Source organism: Homo sapiens, chromosome 1 (genome assembly GCF_000001405.40).
Source record: "Homo sapiens chromosome 1, GRCh38.p14 Primary Assembly".
NCBI classification, from domain to species: Eukaryota; Metazoa; Chordata; class Mammalia; order Primates; family Hominidae; genus Homo; species Homo sapiens.
In genome coordinates, this window is record NC_000001.11 from 89,156,577 (window position 1) to 89,177,885 (window position 21,309).

General features: G+C 38.0%; 1 protein-coding gene and 1 long non-coding RNA gene across 3 annotated transcripts in view; one reads left to right on the forward strand and one right to left on the reverse strand.

The window, feature by feature from the left end:
• The window catches only part of GBP7 (guanylate binding protein 7), a 44,262-nt gene extending 24,835 nt beyond the window's left edge, over positions 1-19,427 (reverse strand). Inside the window, exons 1-3 of the mRNA NM_207398.3 lie at positions 19,345-19,427; positions 15,170-15,378; positions 8,155-8,282 (exon numbers count right to left, since the gene is read on the reverse strand). Coding sequence (NP_997281.2) covers positions 8,155-8,282; positions 15,170-15,359 — 318 coding nt within the window. The 5' untranslated portion in view covers positions 15,360-15,378; positions 19,345-19,427. The remainder of the gene's footprint in view (positions 1-8,154; positions 8,283-15,169; positions 15,379-19,344) is intronic.
• The window catches only part of LOC105378842 (uncharacterized), a 51,385-nt gene that overhangs the window by 28,163 nt on the left and 1,913 nt on the right, over positions 1-21,309 (forward strand). The window lies entirely within an intron of this gene.

Genomic DNA, 21,309 nt, shown 5'->3' on the forward strand with positions numbered 1-21,309 from the left:
CTTTAAACAAACAAAGACTGAAAGAGACAAAGAAGGCCATTACATAATGATAAAGGGATCAATTCAACAACAAGAGCTAACTATCCTAAATATATATGCACCCAATACAGGAGCACCCAGATTCATAAAGCAAGTCCTTAGAGACCTACAAAGAGACTTAGACTCCCACACAATACTAATGGGAGACTTTAACACCCCACTGTCAACGTTAGACAGATCAATGAGACAGAAAGTTAACAAAGATATCCAGTAATTGAACTCAGCTCTGCATGAAGAGGACCTAATAGACATCAGAGCTCTCCACCCCAAATCAACAGAATATACATTCTTCTCAGCACCACATCGCACTTATTCCAAAATGGACCACATAGTTGGAAGTAAAGCACTCCTCAGCAAATGTAAAAGAACAGAAATTATGACAAACTGTCTCTCAGACCACAGTGCAATCAAACTAGAACTCAGGATTAAGAAACTCACTCAAAACCACTCAACTACATGGAAACTGAATAACTGTCTCCTGAATGACTACTGGGTACATAACATAATGAAGGCAGAAATAAAGATGTTCTTTGAAACCAATGAGAAGAAAGACACAACATACCAGAATCTCTGGGACACATTTAAAGAAGTGTGTAGAGGGAAATTTATACCACTAAATGCCCATAAGAAAAAGCAGGAAAGATCTAAAATTGACATCCTAACATCACAATTAAAAGAACTAGAGAAGCAAGAGCAAACACATTCAAAAGCTAGCAGAAGGCAAGAAATAACTAAGATCAGAGCAGAGCTGAAGGAGATAGAGACACAAAAAAACCCTTCAAAAAATCAATGAATCAAGGAGCTGGTTTTTGGAAAAGATCAACAAAATTGATAGACCACTACCAAGACGAATAAAGAAGAAAAGAGAGAAGAATCAAATAGATGCAATAAAAAACGATATAGGGCATATCACCGCCGATCCCACAGAAATACAAACTACCATCAGAGAATAGTATAAACACCTCTACCAAATAAACTAGAAAATCTAGAAGAAATGGATAAATTCCTGGACATACACACCCTCCAAGACTAAACCAGGAAGAAGTTGAATCTCTTGATAGACCAATAGCAGGCTCTGAAATTGAGGCAATAATTAATAGCCTCCCAACCAAAAAAAAAAAGTCCAGGACCAGACAGATTCACAGCTGAATTCTACCAGAGGTAAAAGCAGGAGCTGGTACCATTCTTTCTGAAACTATTCCAATCAGTAGAAAAACAGTGAATCCTCCCTAACTCATTTCATGAGGCCAGCATCATCCTGATACCAAAGCCGGGCAGAGACACAACAGCAAAAAAAGAGAATTTTAGACAAATATCCCTGATGAACATCAGTGCAAAAATCCTCAATAAGATACTGGCAAACCAAATCCAGCTGCCCATCAAAAAGTGTATCCACCACGATCAAGTTGGCTTCATCCCTGGGATGCAAGGCTGGTTCAACACATGCAAATCAATAAACGTAATCCATCATGTAAACAGAACCAAAGACAAAAACCACATGATTTTCTCAATAGATTCAGAAAAGGCCTTGGACAAATTCAACAGCCCTTCATGCTTAAAACTCTAAATAAACTAGGTGTTGATGGGATGTATTTCAAAATAATAAGAGCTATTTATGACAAACCCACAGCCAACATCATACTGAATGGGCAAAAACTGGAAGCATTCCCTTTGAAAAGTGGCACAAGACGGGATGCCCTCTCTCACCACTCCTATTCAACATAGTGTTGGAAGTTCTGGCCAGGGCAATTAGGCAAGAGAAGGAAATAAAGGGTATTCAGTTAGGAAAAGAGGAAATCAAATTGTCCCTGTTTGCAGATGACATGATTGTATATCTAGAAAACCCCATTGTCTCAGCCCAAAATCTCCTTAAGCTGATAAGCAACTTCAGCAAAGTCTCAGGATACAAAATCAATGTACAAAAATCACAAGCATTCTTATACACCAATAACAGACAAACAGAAAGCCAAATCATGAGTGAACTCCCATTCACAATTGCTTCAAAGAGAATAAAATACCTAGGAATCCAACTTACAAGGGATGTGAAGGACCTCTTCAAGGAGAACTACAAACCTCTGCTCAATGAAGTAAAAGAGGACACAAACAAATGGAAGAGCATTCCATGTTCATGGATAGGAAGAATCAATATCGTGAAAATGGCCCTACTGCCCAAGGTAATTTATAGATTCAATGCCATCCCCATCAAGCTACCAATGACTTTCTTCACAGAATTGGAAAAAAAACTACTTTAAAGTTCATATGGAACCAAAAAGAGCCCGCATTGCCAAGAGAATCCTAAGCCAAAAGAACAAAGCTGGAGGCATCACACTACCCGATTTCAAACTATACTACAAGGCTACAGTAAGCAAAACAGCATGGTACTGGTACCAAAACAGAGATATAGACCAATGGAACAAAACAGAGCCCTCGGAAATAATACCACACATCTACAACCATCTGATCTTTGACAAACCTGACAAAAACAAGAAATGGGGAAAGGATTCCCTATTTGATAAATGGTGCTGGGAAAACTGGCTAGCCCTATGTAGAAAGCTGAAACTGGATCCCTTCCTTACACCTTATAAAAAAATTAATTGAAATGGATTAAAGTCTTAAATGTTAGACCTAAAACCATAAAAACCCTAGAAGAAAACCTAGGCAATACCATTCAGGACATAGGCATGGGCAAAGACTTCATGACTAAAACACCAAAAGCAATGGCAACAAAAGCCAAAATAGACAAATGGGATTTAATTAAACTAAAGAGCTTCTGCACAGCAAAAGAAAGTACCATCAGAGTGAACAGGCAACCTACAGAAGGGGAGAAAATGTTTACAATTTACCCATCTGACAAAGGGCTAATGTCCAGTATATACAAAGAACTTAAACAAAGTTACAAGAAAAAAATCAAACAACCCCATCAAAAAGTGGGCGAAGGATATGAACAGACACTTCTCAAAGAAGACATCTATGCAGCCAACAGACACATGAAAAAATGATCATCATCACTGGCCATCAGAGAAATGCAAATCAAAACTACAGTGAGATACCATGTCACACCAGTTAGAATGGCAATCATTAAAAAGTCAGGAAACAACAGGTGCTGGAGAGGATGTGGAGAAATAGGAACACTTTTACACTGTTGGTGGGACCGTAATCTAGTTCAACCATGTGGAAGACGGCGTGGTGATTCCACAAGGATCTACAACTAGAAATACCATTTAACCCAGCCATCCTATTACTGGGTATACACCCAAAGGATTATAAATCACGCTACTATAAAGACACATGCACACGTATGTTTATTTTGGCACTATTCACAACAGCAAAGATTTGGAACCAACCCAAATGTCCATCAACGATAGACTGGAGTAAAAAAACATGGCACATATATACCATGGAATACCATGCAGCCATAGAAAAGGATGAGTTCATGTCCTTTGCAGGGACATGGATGAAGCTGAAAACCATCATTTTGAGCAAACTATCACAAGGTCAGAAAAGCAAACACCGCATGTTCTCACTCATAGGTGGGAATTGAACAATGAGATCACTTGGACACAGGGTGAGGAACATCACACACTGGGGCCTGCTGTGGGGTGGAGGGAGTGTGGAGGGATAGCATTAGGGGATATACCTAATGTAAATGACAAGTTAATGGGTGCAGCACACCAACATGGCACGTGTGTACATATGTAACAAAGCTGCACATTGTGCACATGTACCCTAGAACTTAAAGTATAATAAAAAAAATGTACCTTAACTTCCTCATATGTGAAGATTTTAAAATTTCACTTAGGGAGGAAGCAAAGTGAAGAACACAGATTTCACAGATGGGATGCCTGGCTTAGATTCCAGCTTGACTGCTGGTAGCTGTGTGACCGTGGGCAAGTTTCTTGACCTCTCTCTACTCAGTGTCCTTATCTGTCGAGTAGGGATAATAATAGTACATATTTCATAGGGTCGTTGTATGATTAAACAAGTTATTATTTACTGAGTGCTTAGAATAGTTCCTGGCACATAGTTAGTGCTATATGTGTTTAGTAAATAACTAAAATTAGAAATAGAGGTGACAAAAAAGAAATAATTTCGTCACAATAAAGGCTTATTTCTTTCCTTTCCAAATGCTTAAAAACAACACTTAAAAAAATTTCTTTTGAAAAAAATAGAATTAGTATGTTTTGGCTTTCATACTGCACAACAGGGATTTGTTACATAGGTAGACTTGTGTCATGGGGGTTCGTTGCATATATTATTTCATCTCCCAGGTATTTAGCCAAGTACGCATTAGTTTTTTTTCTTGATCTTTTCCCTCCTCCCATTATCCACCCTCAGATAGGCTCCAATGTGTGTTGTTTCCCTCTATGTGTCCATGTGTTCTCATCATTTAGCTCCCACTTATAAGTGAGAACATGTGGTATTTGGTTTCCTGTTCCTGCATCCATTTGCTAAGGATAATGACCTCCAGCTCCATCCATACCCTGCAAATGATCTTGTTCTTCTTTTATGGCTGCATAGTATTCCATAGTGTATATGTACCACATTTTCTTTATCTAGTCTATCATTTATGGGCCTTTAAATTGATGCCATGTCTTTGCTATTGTGCCATAATGAATATTCACGTACACGTATCTTTATAATAGAACAATTTATAGTCCTTTGGGTACATACCCAGTAATGGCATTGCTGGGTCAAATGGTAGTTCTGTCTTTAGGTCTTTGAGTAGTTGCCACACTGTCTCCCACAATGGTTTAACTAATTTACACTCCCACCAACAATGGATAAGTGTTCCTATTTCTCTACAACCTAACCAGCATCTGTTATTTTTTGACTTTTTAATAATAGCCATTCTGACTGGTGTGATCATGATAGTATTGTGGTTTTGATTTGCATTTCTCTAATGGTCAGTGATGTTAAGCTTTTTTTTTTCCATATGATTGTTGGCTGCATGTATGTCTTCTTTTGAAAAGTGTCTGTTCATGTCTTTTGCCCACTTTTTAATGTATTTTTTTGTGTGTGTGAATTTGTTTACGTTCCTTATAGATGCTGGATATTAGTCCTTTGTCAGCTGCAGAGTTTGCAAATATTTTCTCCCATTCTTTAGGTTGTTTGTTTACTCTGTTGATGGTTTCTTTTGCTGTGCAGAAGCTCTTTAGTTAGTTCCCATTTGTCAATTTTTGCTTTTGTTACTATAGCTTTTTTGGTGTCTTCATCGTGACATCTTTGCCCATGCCTATGTCCTGAATGATATGGCCAGGGTGGTTTTCCAGGGTTTTTATAGTTTTGGGTTGTATATTTAAGTCTTTAATCCATCTTGAGTTAACTTTTGTATATGGTCTAAGTAAAGGGTCCAATTTCAATCTTCTGCATATGGCTAGCCTGTTATCCCAGCACCATTTATTGAATAGGGAATCTTTTCCCCATTGCTTTTTTTTTTTTTCAGGTTTGTCAAAGATCAGATAGTTGTAGTTGTGCAGTCTTAAATTCTGGGTTATCTGTTCTGTTCCATTGGTCTATGTGTCTGTTTTTGTACCAGTTCCATGTATTTTGGTTACTGTAGCCCTGTAGTATAGTTTGATGTCGAGTAGCATCCAGCTTTGTTCTTTTTGCTTAGAATTGCGTTGGCTATTTTTTGCCTGAGCTCTTTTTCTGTCCCATATGAATTTTTTAAAAACAGTTTTTTTCTAATTCTGTGAAGAATCTCAATGGTAGTTTAATAGGAATAGCATTGAATCTATAAATTGCTTTGGGCAGTAAGGTAATTTTAACAATATTGATTCTGTCTCTCCATGAGGAAGGAATGTTTTTCCATTTATTTGTGTCATCTCTGATTTCTTGGAGCAGTGGTTTGTAGTTCTCCTTGGAGAGGTCTTTTACCTCCCTAGTTAGCTGTATTCCTAAGCAGCAATTATGAATGGGAGTTTGTTCCTGATTTGGCTTTCAGCTTGACTGTGGTTGGTGTATAGGAATGTTAGTGATTTTTGCATATCGATTTTGTATCCTGAGACTTTGCTGAAGTTGTTTATCAGCTTAAGAAGCTTTTGGGCTGAGACTGGGGGGTTTTCTAGACATATAATCATGTCATTGACAAACAGCAAGAGTTTGACTTCCTCTTTTCCTGTTTGGATGCCCTTTATTGCTTTCTCTTGCCTGATTGTCCTGGCCAAGGCTTCCAATACTATGTTGAACAGGAGTGGTGAGAGAGGGCATCCTTGTCTTGTGCCGGTTTTCAAGAGGAATGCTTCCAGCTTTTGCCCATTTAGTATGATGTTGACAGTGGGTTTGTCATATATGGCTCTTATCATTTTGAGCTATGTTCCTTCAATACCTAGTTTATTGAGAGTTTTTACCATGAATGGACTTTGAATTTTATTGAAAACATTTTCTGCATCTATTGAGATAATTGTGTGGTTTTTGTCTTTATTTCTGTTTATGGGATGAATCACATTTATTGATTTGCATATCTTGATCCATTCTTGCATTCCAGGGATAAAGCCTACTTGATCATGGTGGATAAGCTTTTTGATGTGTTGCTGGATTTAGTTTGCCTGTATTTTGTTGAGGATTTTTGCATTGATGTTATCAAGGATATTGGCCTGAAATTTTCTCTTTTGTTGTTGTATCTCTTCCAGGTTTTGGTATCAGGATGATGCTGGCCCCATAGAATGAGTTAGGGAGGAGTGCCTCCTCCTCAATTTTTTGGAATATTTTCAGTAGGAATGCTACCAGCTTTTCTTTGTACATCTGGTAAATTCAGCTATGAATCCATCTGTTTCTGGGCTTTTTTTTTTTTTGGTAGGTGGGCTATTTATTACTGCCTCAATTTCAGAGCTCATCATTTGTCTGTTCAGGGATTCAATTTCTTCCCAGTTAAGTCTTGAGAGGGTATATGTGTCAACAAATTTGTCCATTTTGTGTAGATTGTCTAGTTTATGTCCATGGAGGTTTTCTTAATATTGTATTTATGTGGGGTCAGTGGTAACCATCCCCCTGTCGTTTCTGACTAATCCTATTTTCAATTTATACTCAGACTAATATAAATAAAGGAAAAGACTGCACTTAATACTATAAAGCAAAATTATCTAGAATTAGCCAATTTGCAAATTTTTGTGTGGGGCTAGCTCACACTATTCTAGAAGTCAGTGATGACTACATTGCCTAGCCCAGTAAATTGGGTAAAAATTTTATAAATGTTCCCGGTATAGCTGGTGGTTTTCTTTTCTTTTTCTTTCTTTTTTTTTTGTTTTTTGTTTGTTTGTTTGTTTTGTTTTTGAGATGGAGTCTCACTCTGTCACTCAGGCTGGAGTGCAGTGGCATGATCTCGGTTCAGTGCAACCTCCACTTCCCGGGTCCAAGCGATACTCCTGCCTCAGCCTCCTGAATAGCTGGGATTACAGGTGCCCGCCTCTGCGCTGGGCTAATTTTTGCATTTTCAGTAGAGATGGGGTTTCACCATGTTGGCTAGGCTGGTCTCGGACTTCTGACCTCAGATGGTCCACCCGCCTCGGCCTTGCAAAGTGTTGGGATTACAGGTGTGAGCCACCGTGCCCGGCTAGCTAGTGCTTTTCTAGACATTTAAAAACAGGTTATTTCAGTGAAACTCTATTTTCCTGATTCTACCTTCAAGCCTACAAACCCCACACACCTTAACTAGTAGCACCCATTAATCCCACAGGTTACAGCTTCTTCCAGGAAGCTTTCTCCTAAATTGTATCATTAGGTTAGGCCCTCACTTTCAGCATCTGAGCACTCTAAATGGTCACAATGTTGTCTTCGCCACTAGGCTCTGAGCATTTACCTGGTTCATTGATTAGCGTAGAGCTTTGAAATTCAGGATTCTTTATTAATATAGCACACAGCCCTAGACTTCTGCCATGCAGTATTTATTAAATTTTATAATTCATCCAACTGTTAAAAATAAGAAGATGTATCACCAATAGTCCAAAATATTTGTGCTTACCAAGAAAGTAAGTTCCAGAAAATGAAATTTAGCTTTGTTTCCCATAATCAGATTTGTGATTCAGGAATAGGCCAGAGAAGTTGGATTGATACTATGCATAAAAACATAAATAGAGAATCAAAGGTAAAGAAGATTTCTCTATGTCTCTTTCTTACCTTTTCCATATCACCCAGGCCCTCCGTGTCCAGAAGGATCAGGGTGTGGTTTGGCTTGGAGGGGTGGGGCACACACCACATCCAGATGCCTTTGGTTTCAGACTTCACTGTGCAGCCCAGAGGGAAGCCTTCAAGGGAAGAGGAGAAACAACATATAGTGACAGCAGAATCCAGGCAGACAAGGCCTATACCAGTTAAATGTATAGGAACGTTAAGTTCCTGGCAGGGGAAACGGGTTGCTTCCATTTCAGCAAAGACAATCAATCAAATCTTTATTTGTATAAATGACTTTCTCAGGAGGTACTTGGGTCCCTTATTCACTTCATATCTATATGGGCTCAAATAAGTTATATTACAGAATTAATGTAAACTCTATTAACCTGTTGCTATGGTCTGAAGTTAGTCCCTCCAATCCTCCTTTCATACGTTGGAACTTCAGTGAAGTCTGAAACCAAACCCCAAGGTGATGATATTAAGAAGTCAGAAGTGGGCTGGGTGTGGTGGCTCACACCTGTAATCCCAACACTTTGGGAGGCCGAGGCAGGTGAATCACAAAGTCAGAAGATAGAGACCATCCTGGCCAACATGGTGAAATCCTGTCTCTACTAAAATACAAAAAATTAGCCAGGCATGGTCGTGCACGCCTGTAGTCCCAGCTACTTGGGAGGCTGAGGTAGGGGAGTCGCTTGAAACCAGGAGGCAGAGAGATTGCAGTGAGCTGAGATTGTGCCACTGCACTCCAGCCTGGTGACAGAGTGAGACTCCGTCTCAAAAAAAAAGAAAAAAAAAAAAAGCCAGAAGTGATTAAGTCATGAAGGGTCATGTCCTCAGTAATAAAGTTAATGCCCTTATAAAAGGCCTTGAGGGATGAGTTCATGTCCTTTGCAGGGACATGGATGAAGCTGGAAACCATCATTCTCAGCAAGCTAACGCAGGAACAGAAAACCAAACATCACATGTTCTCACTCCTAAGTGGGGGTCCAACAATGGGGACACATGGACACAGGGAGGGGAACATCACACAACAGGGCCTGTTGGGGGGTGGGGGCTAGGGGAGGGATAGTATTAGGAGAAATGCCTAATGCAGATGATGGGTTGATGGGTGCAGCAAACCACCGTGACACGTGTATACCTACGTAAGAAACTTGCATGTTCTGCACATATATCCCTGAACTTAAAGTACATATATAAAAAGACCAATTTCATTGTTCCTTCTGCCCGTTCTGCCATATGGGGACAGTGGGAAACCCCCTCTATGAGTAACAAGCCCTCACTAGACACTGAATCTCCTTGTGCCTTAATCTTGGACTTCCCAACCTCCAGATCTACGAGAAATAAGTTTTTATTATTTCTAAATTACCCTGTCTAATGTATTTTGTCATAGTGGCAGACACAAACTAAGATACCTGTGTATTTTTATGCAACACTCAAGAGGAAGAAAAAAGCATGCATTCATAAGTAAAATTAGAGAGAGGGCTGATACAAGAGGTCCGGGTACTGGGTTCATCTTCATGTAGTGATTCTTTTTCCTTATGCAGGTCCCACGTTAACAGAAGGTTATCCAAATAGAGGAGATTCTGACATGGGAAGGACAGTATAAAGCATCCACTCTAGTACAGTCTGTTGAAATGGCTTCCAGGAGTGGAGTAGTGAGAATAAAATCTTGAAATGTAGTTGAGGAGTCTGTGATTTGAACCCCTGAATATGTAGCCCAGTAAGACCAGATTTGTTAGTAACAGAACCCACTGAAGTGTTTCAGATGGATGATGACAAAAATCAGGAAAATATTTAAGAAAATCCATGAGGTATTAGAATACCGCAGGAATTAAAAAGTTATACCTTGGACTAGTAAAAGAGTTCTAGAATTTTAAAGGCGGAAAGTGTGAAAGTTGTCAGCATCAAAATGCCAAACTTGAATGAAATGAAGTCAGCAGACCATGAAGGAAAAGCTCTCGCACACACTTTCCTGTGATGGGAACTTCCATTGAAGATGTTGCCAATCCACAACCTTGCAACAAAGGCTAATGTTCTGAGGACATCTTTCCAGTAATAGCCAGTCCTAACTGTAAACTTGCAAGTGGTCTAACTTGCAATCAGAGTCCCTGCAATCAGGGTGCCTTCTGTGAAGACTCTCTCTTGGCAAGAGCCAGCACACATATTAAGTCCTGTGAGTAAGCTCCTGTAAACAAATAAACTTTTGTTTCAGAACACCCTGCATGTACTTCTCCTTTCTGTCTTTAAACTTTCCCACGTCTCAACCACCCTGGATGCACCTATGATTTATTATAATGTGCATACCTGAATTTGGTATGCATATGGTCCCCTGCTCATTCTTAAATAAACTCATTTCTTTGGAGAACTACTTTCTCTCTTGTTATTTTAGCTTGACATAATCTGGCATCAGAAGTAGGACCCAAAGTGAGCTCATCTTGGAATGATCATCAGCCCCTGAAACCATGCATGGTATTCACTTGTTGAGCCCTTTGATTTCTTCATTTCCACAGCTGACCTTTTCTACTGTGTTGAGTCTCCCCTTGGGTTAAAATCCCTTCTTTTTGTCTAGTTCAGGATCTTATTTGGATAAGGTCACCTCAATAAAAGGCCTTGAATCCCTTCTTAGCCTAAAAACAACTTTGTCTTTTCTGGGAAGCCCTTCACAAGATAAGAACATTGTCCTTCTGGTGAGTACTCTGTGTTTTTTTGTTTGTTTGTTTGTTTTAACTTCTGCATGCCTGGTTTAATATTTTGTTTGGTCTGCCTGCTTGATTTAAAAATTTGGTGAATTGAGTGTTTTCTTACTTCTGAACATCTGCCAAGAGCAAAAATAAACGTACCAAACATAGGCATGGGTTGACCAATTTAAAGCAATTAAAGCAGTGCCATCATTAATGAGGGACTCCAGTCTCTGAAGATAAAGTATTTTGTGTGAAGGTAAACTGGCCATGGATGGGCAAGGTTACCATTAGAGCATCTGCCACACTTAAGAAAATGTCCATGCAGCAGGGAAAATGTGGTCATGGGTTGGACAACTAAGGCAATGACTGTCCACCAACTAAAATAAATACCCTGGACCAGGTACATTGTGAAACAAAACACGAGTCCAAACTCCTGACATTCCCAACCAGATTCATAGGATTTTATTTTTTTCTCTTCAGAGATTAATGAGAAACAAAATGAGATACTCAAATTTAAAGGCATGTCAGAATAATCTTTCTCCTGGGACTCTAGCCAGCTATATTTATGGTCCATCTCATGCACACTTCTCAATTGATGGGGAAATTACACCAACAGTAGTTTAGAATTACAATGGCCATTATGTGGAACATTCCAGATGAACTTTCAAGAACTGCACTTTAAGAAGAGCATTTAAAATTGGAAGGGATCCCAAACATCTCAGAAACAATGAGATGTATTTCTGATTGGCATATAGAGGCTTCTAACTTCTCTATTTTTGCTCTATTTTTCCTCTTACTTTTTCGCTTGGTTACCTACCCATTCCTAAGGAGAAAAAAAAGGAAAAGAACTAGATAAGTATTTATAAAAGTTAGGCTCTCCAGTCAACTAGGTCTGCTTTTTAACCCCTTTGTGCTTTGGCCAAAATCTAGAGCTCAGAGTAATAATAGGTCTCTCTGTGAGTAGAAAATGTCTTCACTTCCATATGGACCAGAGAAAACAGAAAAACTGAAAATAACCTTTTAAAAAATATTCCTAAAATATTTTCCACCCATGCTGACTAGTTGAGCAAAGCAAAACGCAAACAAAAGAAAGGTAAATTTGTTACTAAATTCAAGACTGCTTGGAGCATGTATTTTTCCACCAGCTCTAGCTAAAATATAAACACCTGATGAATTAACCACTATACTCATTTGAGACTGATTTTTTTTAAAAGGAAGACAAATATTTTTATACTTAAAACCAAACTGGCCAGGTGTGGTGGCTCACACCTGTAATCCCAGCATTTTGGGAGGCCAAGGCGGGTGGATCACCTGAGGTCAGGAGTTCAAGACCAGCCTGACCAACATGGAGAAACCCTGTCTCTACTAAAAATACAAACAACAACAACAACAACAACAACAACAACAAAAAACGGTAGCCAGGCATGGTGGCGGGCTCCTGTAATCCCAGCTACTCAGAAGGCTGAGGCAGGAGAATCGCTTGAACCCGGGAGGCGGAGGTTGCGGTGAGCTGAGATCTCGCCATTGCACTCCAGCCTGGGCAACAAGAGCGAAACTCCGCCTCAAGTTAAAAAAAAAACAAAAAACAAAAAAACTCCTGTGGAAGCTGCAGTTTACCCCAAATTTAGTCCACAGCCTCCATAGAATTAACAGTTAAAGGCAAATGGAAAATCTCAAAAGGTTAGCCATTTGAGCAAGTAACCTTAACTTATTCTGTTTTTTCAGAAAAATAAGTTTGGATTTAGCTGTCCTTTTTACAAACAAGTGAGTTTGTATCTCTGTTTTACCATGTTATGACTAAAATTTTTAAAGTGAAAAACCCTGTGACCTTTGCTTGTGTATGTATTTATGTTTGCATGTTTTGTGTATGTAATAATTTTCCCAAGATATGTGAAAGAGCTCTATTTAATTGGCTTAAAGTGTCAACGAAGCAAACTTAAAAGAGCCTCATGACTGTTCTTGCTGTACTTGTATAAATAATCAGGCTTTGTTTGATGAGGTTAAATTTATTCTGCAAACAAAGAAACCTTATCTTGGTAATAACTGGAACGACTAGAGGAGAAAATTTATGATTAAGAAAGGAAAACTATAGTTCATCTGTCATTAGATTGCAGCCCTATGCATTACTTTTGAGTTTATTATTATTTATCTACAACCTGGACTAAATTTTGAATTCTTCTAGGTTTGTCCAACCCAATTTTCTGGCCTGGAATTGCTAAAATAAAAAACTGCTCTGTTCCTGAAGCTCTATACACTAAAGCTACACAACTCAATGTAAATTTCAAGAGATGAGTCTCATGTCTCATGTTTGGGCCACACAAAAAGTTCACCAAACCACTCAATGCCATACCCAAAGACATTTAGTGTGTAAACCAGTATGAGAAGTTGATGGCTTCATGCTATGGACAGCTTTTTCTAAGAATGATAGAACAATACTTATAAAAATGAGACTCTTATCCTTCTTAAATTTTCTTTGCTTGTGCCTTCTTTTTCACTTGACAGGATAATGCTATAGTTATAATTTCATAATCAGCAGCTTCTGTGCGTACTTGATGGAATGTTGGATCTGTCATGCCAATCCCAAATCTTTACCTGACCTAACAGATGCTTTCTTCCATGTAGTGAATCACTTTGGCAATATTCCTAACACAACTTTTTGTTCAAATTGTACCAGTGATCCCTTTTTACAGAGTTAGCACTCTCGGCTTTAATTTAACCAAGTTATGAGATGCTAAATAATAGAATCACTAATCAAACTACATAAAAGACTCAATGCCTATAAAAAATCTTACCCAGTTCCACATGGTCTTTTAATTTGTTTAATTGGCCTCTTGGTTCAGAACCATCATCCAAAATGAATTTGTTATGCTCCTGTTGGTTTTGCTTTGCATTATTTTCTTTAAGCTTTGTACCTGTTACCTGTCTGACTTCTGCAGAAACGACACTCCTAACAGAATAATGCTGGCTCAGCACTTAAAGAATATGCTGAAAATGTGGAATTGAAAAAATTGACTTAATAATGAATTCCAGGTAGAATTAGCCTGAAACCCACTCCTTCCCAACCTCCTTGTTGCTCAAATGTGGCTAAAATGGTTTTGAAAATGACTCCCAGTCACCAATCACTTTCCCCTGACTTGGGACCAAACCAACCAAATCAAGTGCATCCAAGCACTAGGGAACACAAAGTATAAAACTACAGGATGATCGATCAGAGATGCTTTCAGAGAAAGATCTTGATCAAAGGGGGAACTGCAAAAGTTGTCAGAAGCAAAATGGAGTCACTTATGCCAAACCCTAACAAAATGGAGTCAGGAGTTCATGAAGGAAGGGCTTTCATGTATACTTTCTTGTAGTGGAAACTGCCATTAAGACATTGCCAAACTACAACCTTGCGACAAAGGCTACTTCTGTACTTCCAGTAATAGCCAGTCCTAACCACAATCTTGCAAGTGGCCTTACTTGCTGCCATCAGGGTCCCTGCAGTCAGGGTTCTATGCATAAAACTCTCTCAAGCAACAGCTAATGCACATGTCCCCACCTGCAATATGATCCTGTAAACCAATGAACTTTCATTTTACATCAACTGGCGTATATGTCTCCTTTTTGCCTTTAAAAGTTTCTCACTGCCTTAACATTTCCAGATGAGTTTATTATTTGTTATAGCATGCATTTCCAGAATTTATAAATCCCCTGCTTATTCCTGAATATATTCATTTCTTTGGAGAGTGACTATCTGTTGTTATTGTGAGTTAACAGAGGAACTCAAGATATGGTAGTCAAATCACTCATTTCCTGAATGATGAAACTGAAGAGTAGAAATAGTAACTGATTGGCTTAGTTAGAAAGACATACAAACTACACTTTAACATCAGCCTTCTGACTGGTAGCTTGGTGCTTTGTAAGCCACACTGAGCCCCTGACACTGGACAACAGTCTCATGTAAAAGAGATAAGAGAAATTATAACCAATAGTGACCTTAATTACAAAAAATAGAGAAATTAGAATATCCAATATGGATTGAAACATTCATTTTATCTTAAAGTTCTGTGGAAACTTGCTATCACTACATAAATATTTTAGTAAATATTTAATAATGCATTATTATTTAATTTTTTTATTAATACCTTATTTATATATGAAATGTGAAAATAAAGGCAAAGTGAGAAGAGTCAGTTGACTCCAATCCTCCAGAGTGAATTTGAAGGGTTCACTGATGAATTCAAAGTTAGCTATCAATACTTATCCCCAACACTAACTTTCTCTCATCCCATCTTCATACTAGATACTGACTGTGTAACTGGACAGATGGGGCTCATCCATGCTTTGCTGGTGCCACTCACCTTTGTTCTTCCCAGCCAGCTTGTTCATTAGGTAGGATTTGCCTGTGCGGTAGAGGCCCACAATTGCCACCACTACTACAGGCTGTGTAATGGCAGACAGGATTTCCAGAGCTTCTGAATTCACCACCAGATGCCCTTTAGTGTTCTCAGTGAGGCACACTGGGCCTGGCATGTGGATCTCTGATGCCATGTTCAGGGCGTTCCTCTGTCTGCAAGGAAAAAATGAAATGGAAAGTAATGTCTGGTAAGTCAGTTGAGCTGAAATCTATAATAGGGCATAAATCTTTGTTTTCTATTCTTGAACATTGTTTCTTGTGCATTTCTAAGGAGACCTGTGGCCCTTTAAGGCTGTCCTATAGACTGGGCCACTGTCTGCCCTTTAAAATAATTTCATTTTGAAATAGACTTACAGAAGCATGATAGGTATGAAGAGTGCCCATACACCACTTCCCTGGCTTCCCCTAATGTCGATATTTTACTTAACCATAGAACAATTACTGAAACCAGGGTTTTAGCATCAATACAATGATAACTAATCTACACTCCTTATTCACATTTCACCATTTTCCCACTAATGTCCTTCTGCTTCATGATCCAATCCAGGATCCCTCATTGCATTTAGTCATTATGTTTCTGTAGTTTTCTTGCATCTTTGATAGTTCGTTATTCGTTCTTTGTCTTTCATGTCTTTGACATTTTAGAATAGCACTGGCCTGTGATTTTGAGGAATATCCTTCAATTTGGAGTTTTCTGATGTTTCCTCATTGATTGAAGTTATGCATTTTTTTTTGCAAATGTCACAGAAGTGATGTTCTGCCATTTTCAGTGTCTTGTATTAAGGGATTCATGATGTTGACATTACTTTTTCTGGTGCTATGGCCTTAACTTTGATCACTTGGTTAAAGTGCTTGCTGCCAGATTTCGCCACCTTAAAGAGTTATGTGCCACTTTGTCACTAAAAAGTTTCCATTTTGAGAAACAGTTTGGAGACTATGCAAATACAATCTCATCATACTTTTTTTTTTTTCAGCCACTACTTTTAGTTTTTATTGATGATTCTTTTTGTGGTGTTTGACTAAATAGGATTTTCTATTATAGTCATTCTTTCTATATTAACTGGAGTTCTACCGTGAGCAAGGGCTGTTCCTTCTTTATTTATTTTGTTTGCTCATTTAATCATTTACTTGTATCAATGCAGACTCAGAGATATTAGTTTTATTCTGAGGGTTTCAATACTTTACTGTCAATATTTGTTCTGTTACTCAACTTGTCCTAGATTTTGTCATTGAGAGCTTCTTCAAGCTGGATCCATTTTTTTTTTACATGCTTCCATCATATTTTCAGCGCTTCTTTCCTTTTTGGCTCCACAACGTATTCTAGAAAAAATATCTGTATTTTTCCTGCTTTATCCCTAGAATCTAACATTTCTCCCAGTATCTTTGGTTTCTTTCAATGGATAATGGTACTTTGACACCAATATATCACTCTAGGTGTGTTCATTATTTCTAGACCCACTCAGGGGCAAAGTTAAGAAATATATGTATGTATACTAGGACACATCTATATTTATTTTTATCTGTACATTTCTATAATAAAGCTTGAGATTCTGTTGATATTTCCAGTTCCAATCCAACACATCTGAGCTTATTCAAGCTTTTGACTTTCCTTTTTAAACTATTTTCTCCAAGTAAGCTAGACTTTGGTCTTCTAACACATAATACATTTGTTTCCTTGCTCAGTCCTAGTATATTCATATAGTAGTTTCAAAATTGATAATAAGTCTGTGGAAAAATAAATTTACTTCCTATAGAAAATTATTAGTGTACAGTTCTTTTGGTCTTTAGCCTTATATACACACTCAAAACATTGCATTCCAAAGTTGCTTAGGTTAGCTTTTTCCTTCTCCACCTTCTTCAGTATGGTTAAATTATTCATTTGTAAAACAGTTAGTTACATTTGTTACTGTTTGTGTTTCAGTTTGGCCTCCTTCACATCTTGGTATCTTGGTTGATTTTAAGTATGATTTATTTTTTGAGTTTGTGAAACATCATGGTTCTGAAATGCAGAGCTTTTCAAAAAGTTACAGTCAGAGAAGTGTCACTTTTCCTTCATCTTACCACTCCACTCACATTGCAGTGGTCTTCTATTCTTTCTACCACATTCCCACCCATCCTCCATAGATACCCAATCTTGTTAGTTTCTGGTTTACGCTTCTTGGATTTTCTTTTCTCAAATGAGAATGTACATATTTTCTTTTTCACATTTTCTAACACGAAGATCACATCATATAGAAATTTGGAAATCCCTCCACATCTGTTCATAGAAAGCTTTTAAAATCCTTTTAACATGTATCTACTCCTTTATGTGGATTATACCCCAGTTTATTCAATCACTCTTCAATGTATGGGCATTTAGATTGTTTCAAATATTTTGCAATTACAAACAATGCTGCAATGAATAACTCTGCTAACGTTATGCATGTGTATTTTTATATTGTTACAGGAGTAATTTCAGGATAGAGTCCTACCAACGGGATTGCTTGGTCAAAAGATGAGAGTATATAATTTTGTAGATATTGCCAAGTTCCTCTCCAGAAAGTTGTACAAGGTTGCATTCCCACCAGCTCATCTTGTATGTCATTTTCTAGAAAATGGAATTTTTCCTAGGTGCCCCGCTTGCTCTTCTGAATTAATTACAAAATTTCCTTTGGAAGCTTTTCACGTTCACATTTAGATCTTTGGACTGAGCAAAGCTGAGCTCGCTGAGCTCATGTATATAGTAGTAGTAATCTTCACCTGGGAAACATTGTGTTATACATATCTCTATACTTTGAAACATAGATACCATTCTAACCCATTCTTGGTCCTGATTTCTTGCAAGCCCCTCTGTGGGCAGGGTCTGGTCAGACTGTGGGACTCAGGTTACCCAATGGCTTCCTCCTCTCACTGTGCATCAGCATTCACACGTTATTCATGCAAGCCTGATAGCTCGCACCTGACACTTACTCTGTTGATTTTTGACTTGATTATGTTAACAGATTTTGAATTCTCTGCATTTGAAGATTGATTCTTTATTACCTCCATGTATATCAGTCTGCATATTGTTTTTAATTATTTCATGTAATGAAGTCACAGCATGAAACATTCTTTGAAAAACCATGGCTTGTTTTTTGTCTGATCTCTGCTGTATAGAGAGTAGCATATGCACAATTGTAATCATGCTATCTTTATCCAGGGCTTGATAAATTAAATATTTTGATAATTTTGTAAAGTTAAAAGGAGTGAAAAGCCTTCTTGTAGTGATGCTTTAATTTTGTGTTTTTAAGTTGAATGTCTCAATCCTTGTAACTTATGTGATCATGATACAAAATATATAATCTCTTTAAGATACAAGCAAATATAGATGATAGATACTGCAGTTTTCTTTTTTATCCTATAATAAAGAGTGGTTTGTTTCCACTATAGAGTTGGTTACTTCTGACTTGTTCCTCTGGAGGTTTATATTAAATTATCTGGCTTCCCATCACTTCAGCAGAAGATGGAAAAAAAGCCGTTTATTTTTCTGTGATCATGACCCATTTCCTCTTATAGCAATGGCCTACAGGATCTGCTGGCAAGCAAGAAGGGCAAACCAGAAACTAAAAAGATTGGGTATCTATGGAAGATGAGTGAAAACAGAGTATGCGTCTGTCCAATTCTGTAGCATATACTATGCTACCATAACATAGGAATCAATCAGTCACCGGCTCAGAAAGGTGGTGGCACAAAGATGTTATAAGGTCCTGGATTATAATAATGTGTTGCCTCTTTTTGCAGATCCCAAGTTGCCTACCTTCATTTACCTAGAGCTATAAATGTTGGGCCCAATAAAGAAAGTGACAGAGCCTATTAGGCAGATATTTAAAGATAACAGTAATTTAAGATGGTGTCAGAAAAGAAATAACAATCTTAGAACACTGGCTTCTCTGAATATCTGTTCCACCTCTGCTGAAGCCTAATCTGACACAGCAGGAATTAGAGCACACTAAGGTACACACAGCCACCTAAGAGGCCAGGATTTCATCTGGACTTGTATCCTGTAGCTGGCTCAGCTGCAGCCTATCTTGGGGATGGTCAACTTAGAGAAAACTAATGGATCCTTATAAATCATGAAATCCTTATAAGTCATAGTCTTACCCAGAGTAGAGATCCTCTGGACTTGGTAAGAAGGCAGCTTCAATGAGAAAGTTATGAGTCTTTATTCTCTTCTCTTTAGTTCTGAATTTGGCTGCACTGATTTCTCCCACTTTTTTTCTTGCTGGAACTTTGGACTTTTACCTTACCTCTCCAATGTCATGGGGCTTTCCAGACTTTCTAGAGACCTGTATTTATACATGTAAAAAACAATGCAACCTCTGCAAATAAATAGAGTAATATGACAGTCCATGATTTAGCAACAATAAAAGAAATTGCTGACAGCTGTGCTAGTGAGAGGATTTGACATAATTTCTCAAACAGAATCTTCCAATTTTATTATTGGAAGAGATCTTAGAGACAGCTTGCGATTATTAAAAAAACTTCAATGAATCGTTTAAAATAATGACATTCATCTCATGTTTGTGGGCCACATTGAGAAGTACAGGAATAAGAAAGCTTAATATAATATTATTTAGGTTCAATTGGCTTGAATATTAGACTCTTAAAATGGAACTCATTATTTGTGTTTAATAATGAGGACTCTAAATGCCCTGAAGGAATGTCCACGTCTTATACATGTTTGAATTATTAGCACCTAACTCAGGTCTTGGCACTTAACATTTAATAAATAATAATGAAGATAGTACCCGTTTTGTTTACATAGATTATCCCATTGTATTCTTATCACAAATACTTTTACCACAATGTTAAAAGAGGGATTTAATAATTTATTACAATTACAGAGCTACTAAATAAGATTTGGGCCCAAGAAGTCTTGCTGTCAGTCACTTCATTAAAATACCTCTGTGTTTGCTGAGTGTACAATAACAATGTTTTCTCCTTATCAGTTCCATTCTAGGCCATATTCTTTACACATACCATTTTAAATATCAAAATACCTCAAGATAAAGGTTGTTTATTATCCCCATTGTCCAAGGGGGAAAAATAATCAGAAAACGGGTAATTAATATGTCTAACTAAAGCCATTGAGCTACACACCAAGGTAGCAAGTAATTGAGCGAGATTCAAACTTGAAAATCCATTTGGTTAAAACCACATTGATTCTCTACTGCACATTGTCTCTAAAAGAGAGGAAGGTGGGAAGCGGGGAAGAGAGAGAGAGAAATGGAGAGCAGAGAGTAAGACTTCTCTGTGTGTGTGTGAATATTGATGAGATTTAAAGTGAAAGTAAGGCAGGGTTATTTCAAAACAGAACTATTGCTAGGAAATCACCTGCTTCTAAGTAATAAAATCTATTGTTTATATCATGCAAACAAAAAATAGCCCCAGGCAAAATTGAATCTTTGTGAATCATGTATAATTTAAGGGTACATAAATTTATAAGAAAAAAAGATCCCACTTTCCCAACTTGTGTTTTTTTTTTTTGAGACAGAGTTTCTCTCTTGTTGCCCAGGCTGGAGTGCAATGGTACAATCTTCGCTCACTGCAACCTCCACCTCCTGGGTTCAAGCGATTCTCCTGTCTCAGCCTCCTGAGTAGCTAGGATTACAGGCATGAGCCACCAAGCCCGGCTAATTTTGTATTTTTAGTAGAGATGGAGTTTCTCTATGTTGGTCAGGCTGATGTCGAACTCCCAATCTCAGGTGATCCACCCGCCTCAGCCTCCCAAGGTGTTGGAATTACAGGTGTGAGCCACCATGCCAGACCCCAGCTTGTTTTTAGAGTGTTTCTTTAGAGACAAGTGGGCCAGAGTCCTTTCTTTAACCTTTTGAATACAAATAGAGCTTTCTAGGGGCTAAATATCAGTGCCAGCTTTACAACCCAGAGATGTCTTCAAGAGTCTGGGCTCCATGCCTTTTGAAATGGAAATATCCAGAAAGACAGAGACCCAGGCTTCCTGACACTTTGGGAGCTTAAGCCCGGTGCCTATCCTGTCTATAGCCATTTCTTCCAAGGGAGATAAATTTTAATATTCTTTTAGATAAGCAAATGGCTACCACATTT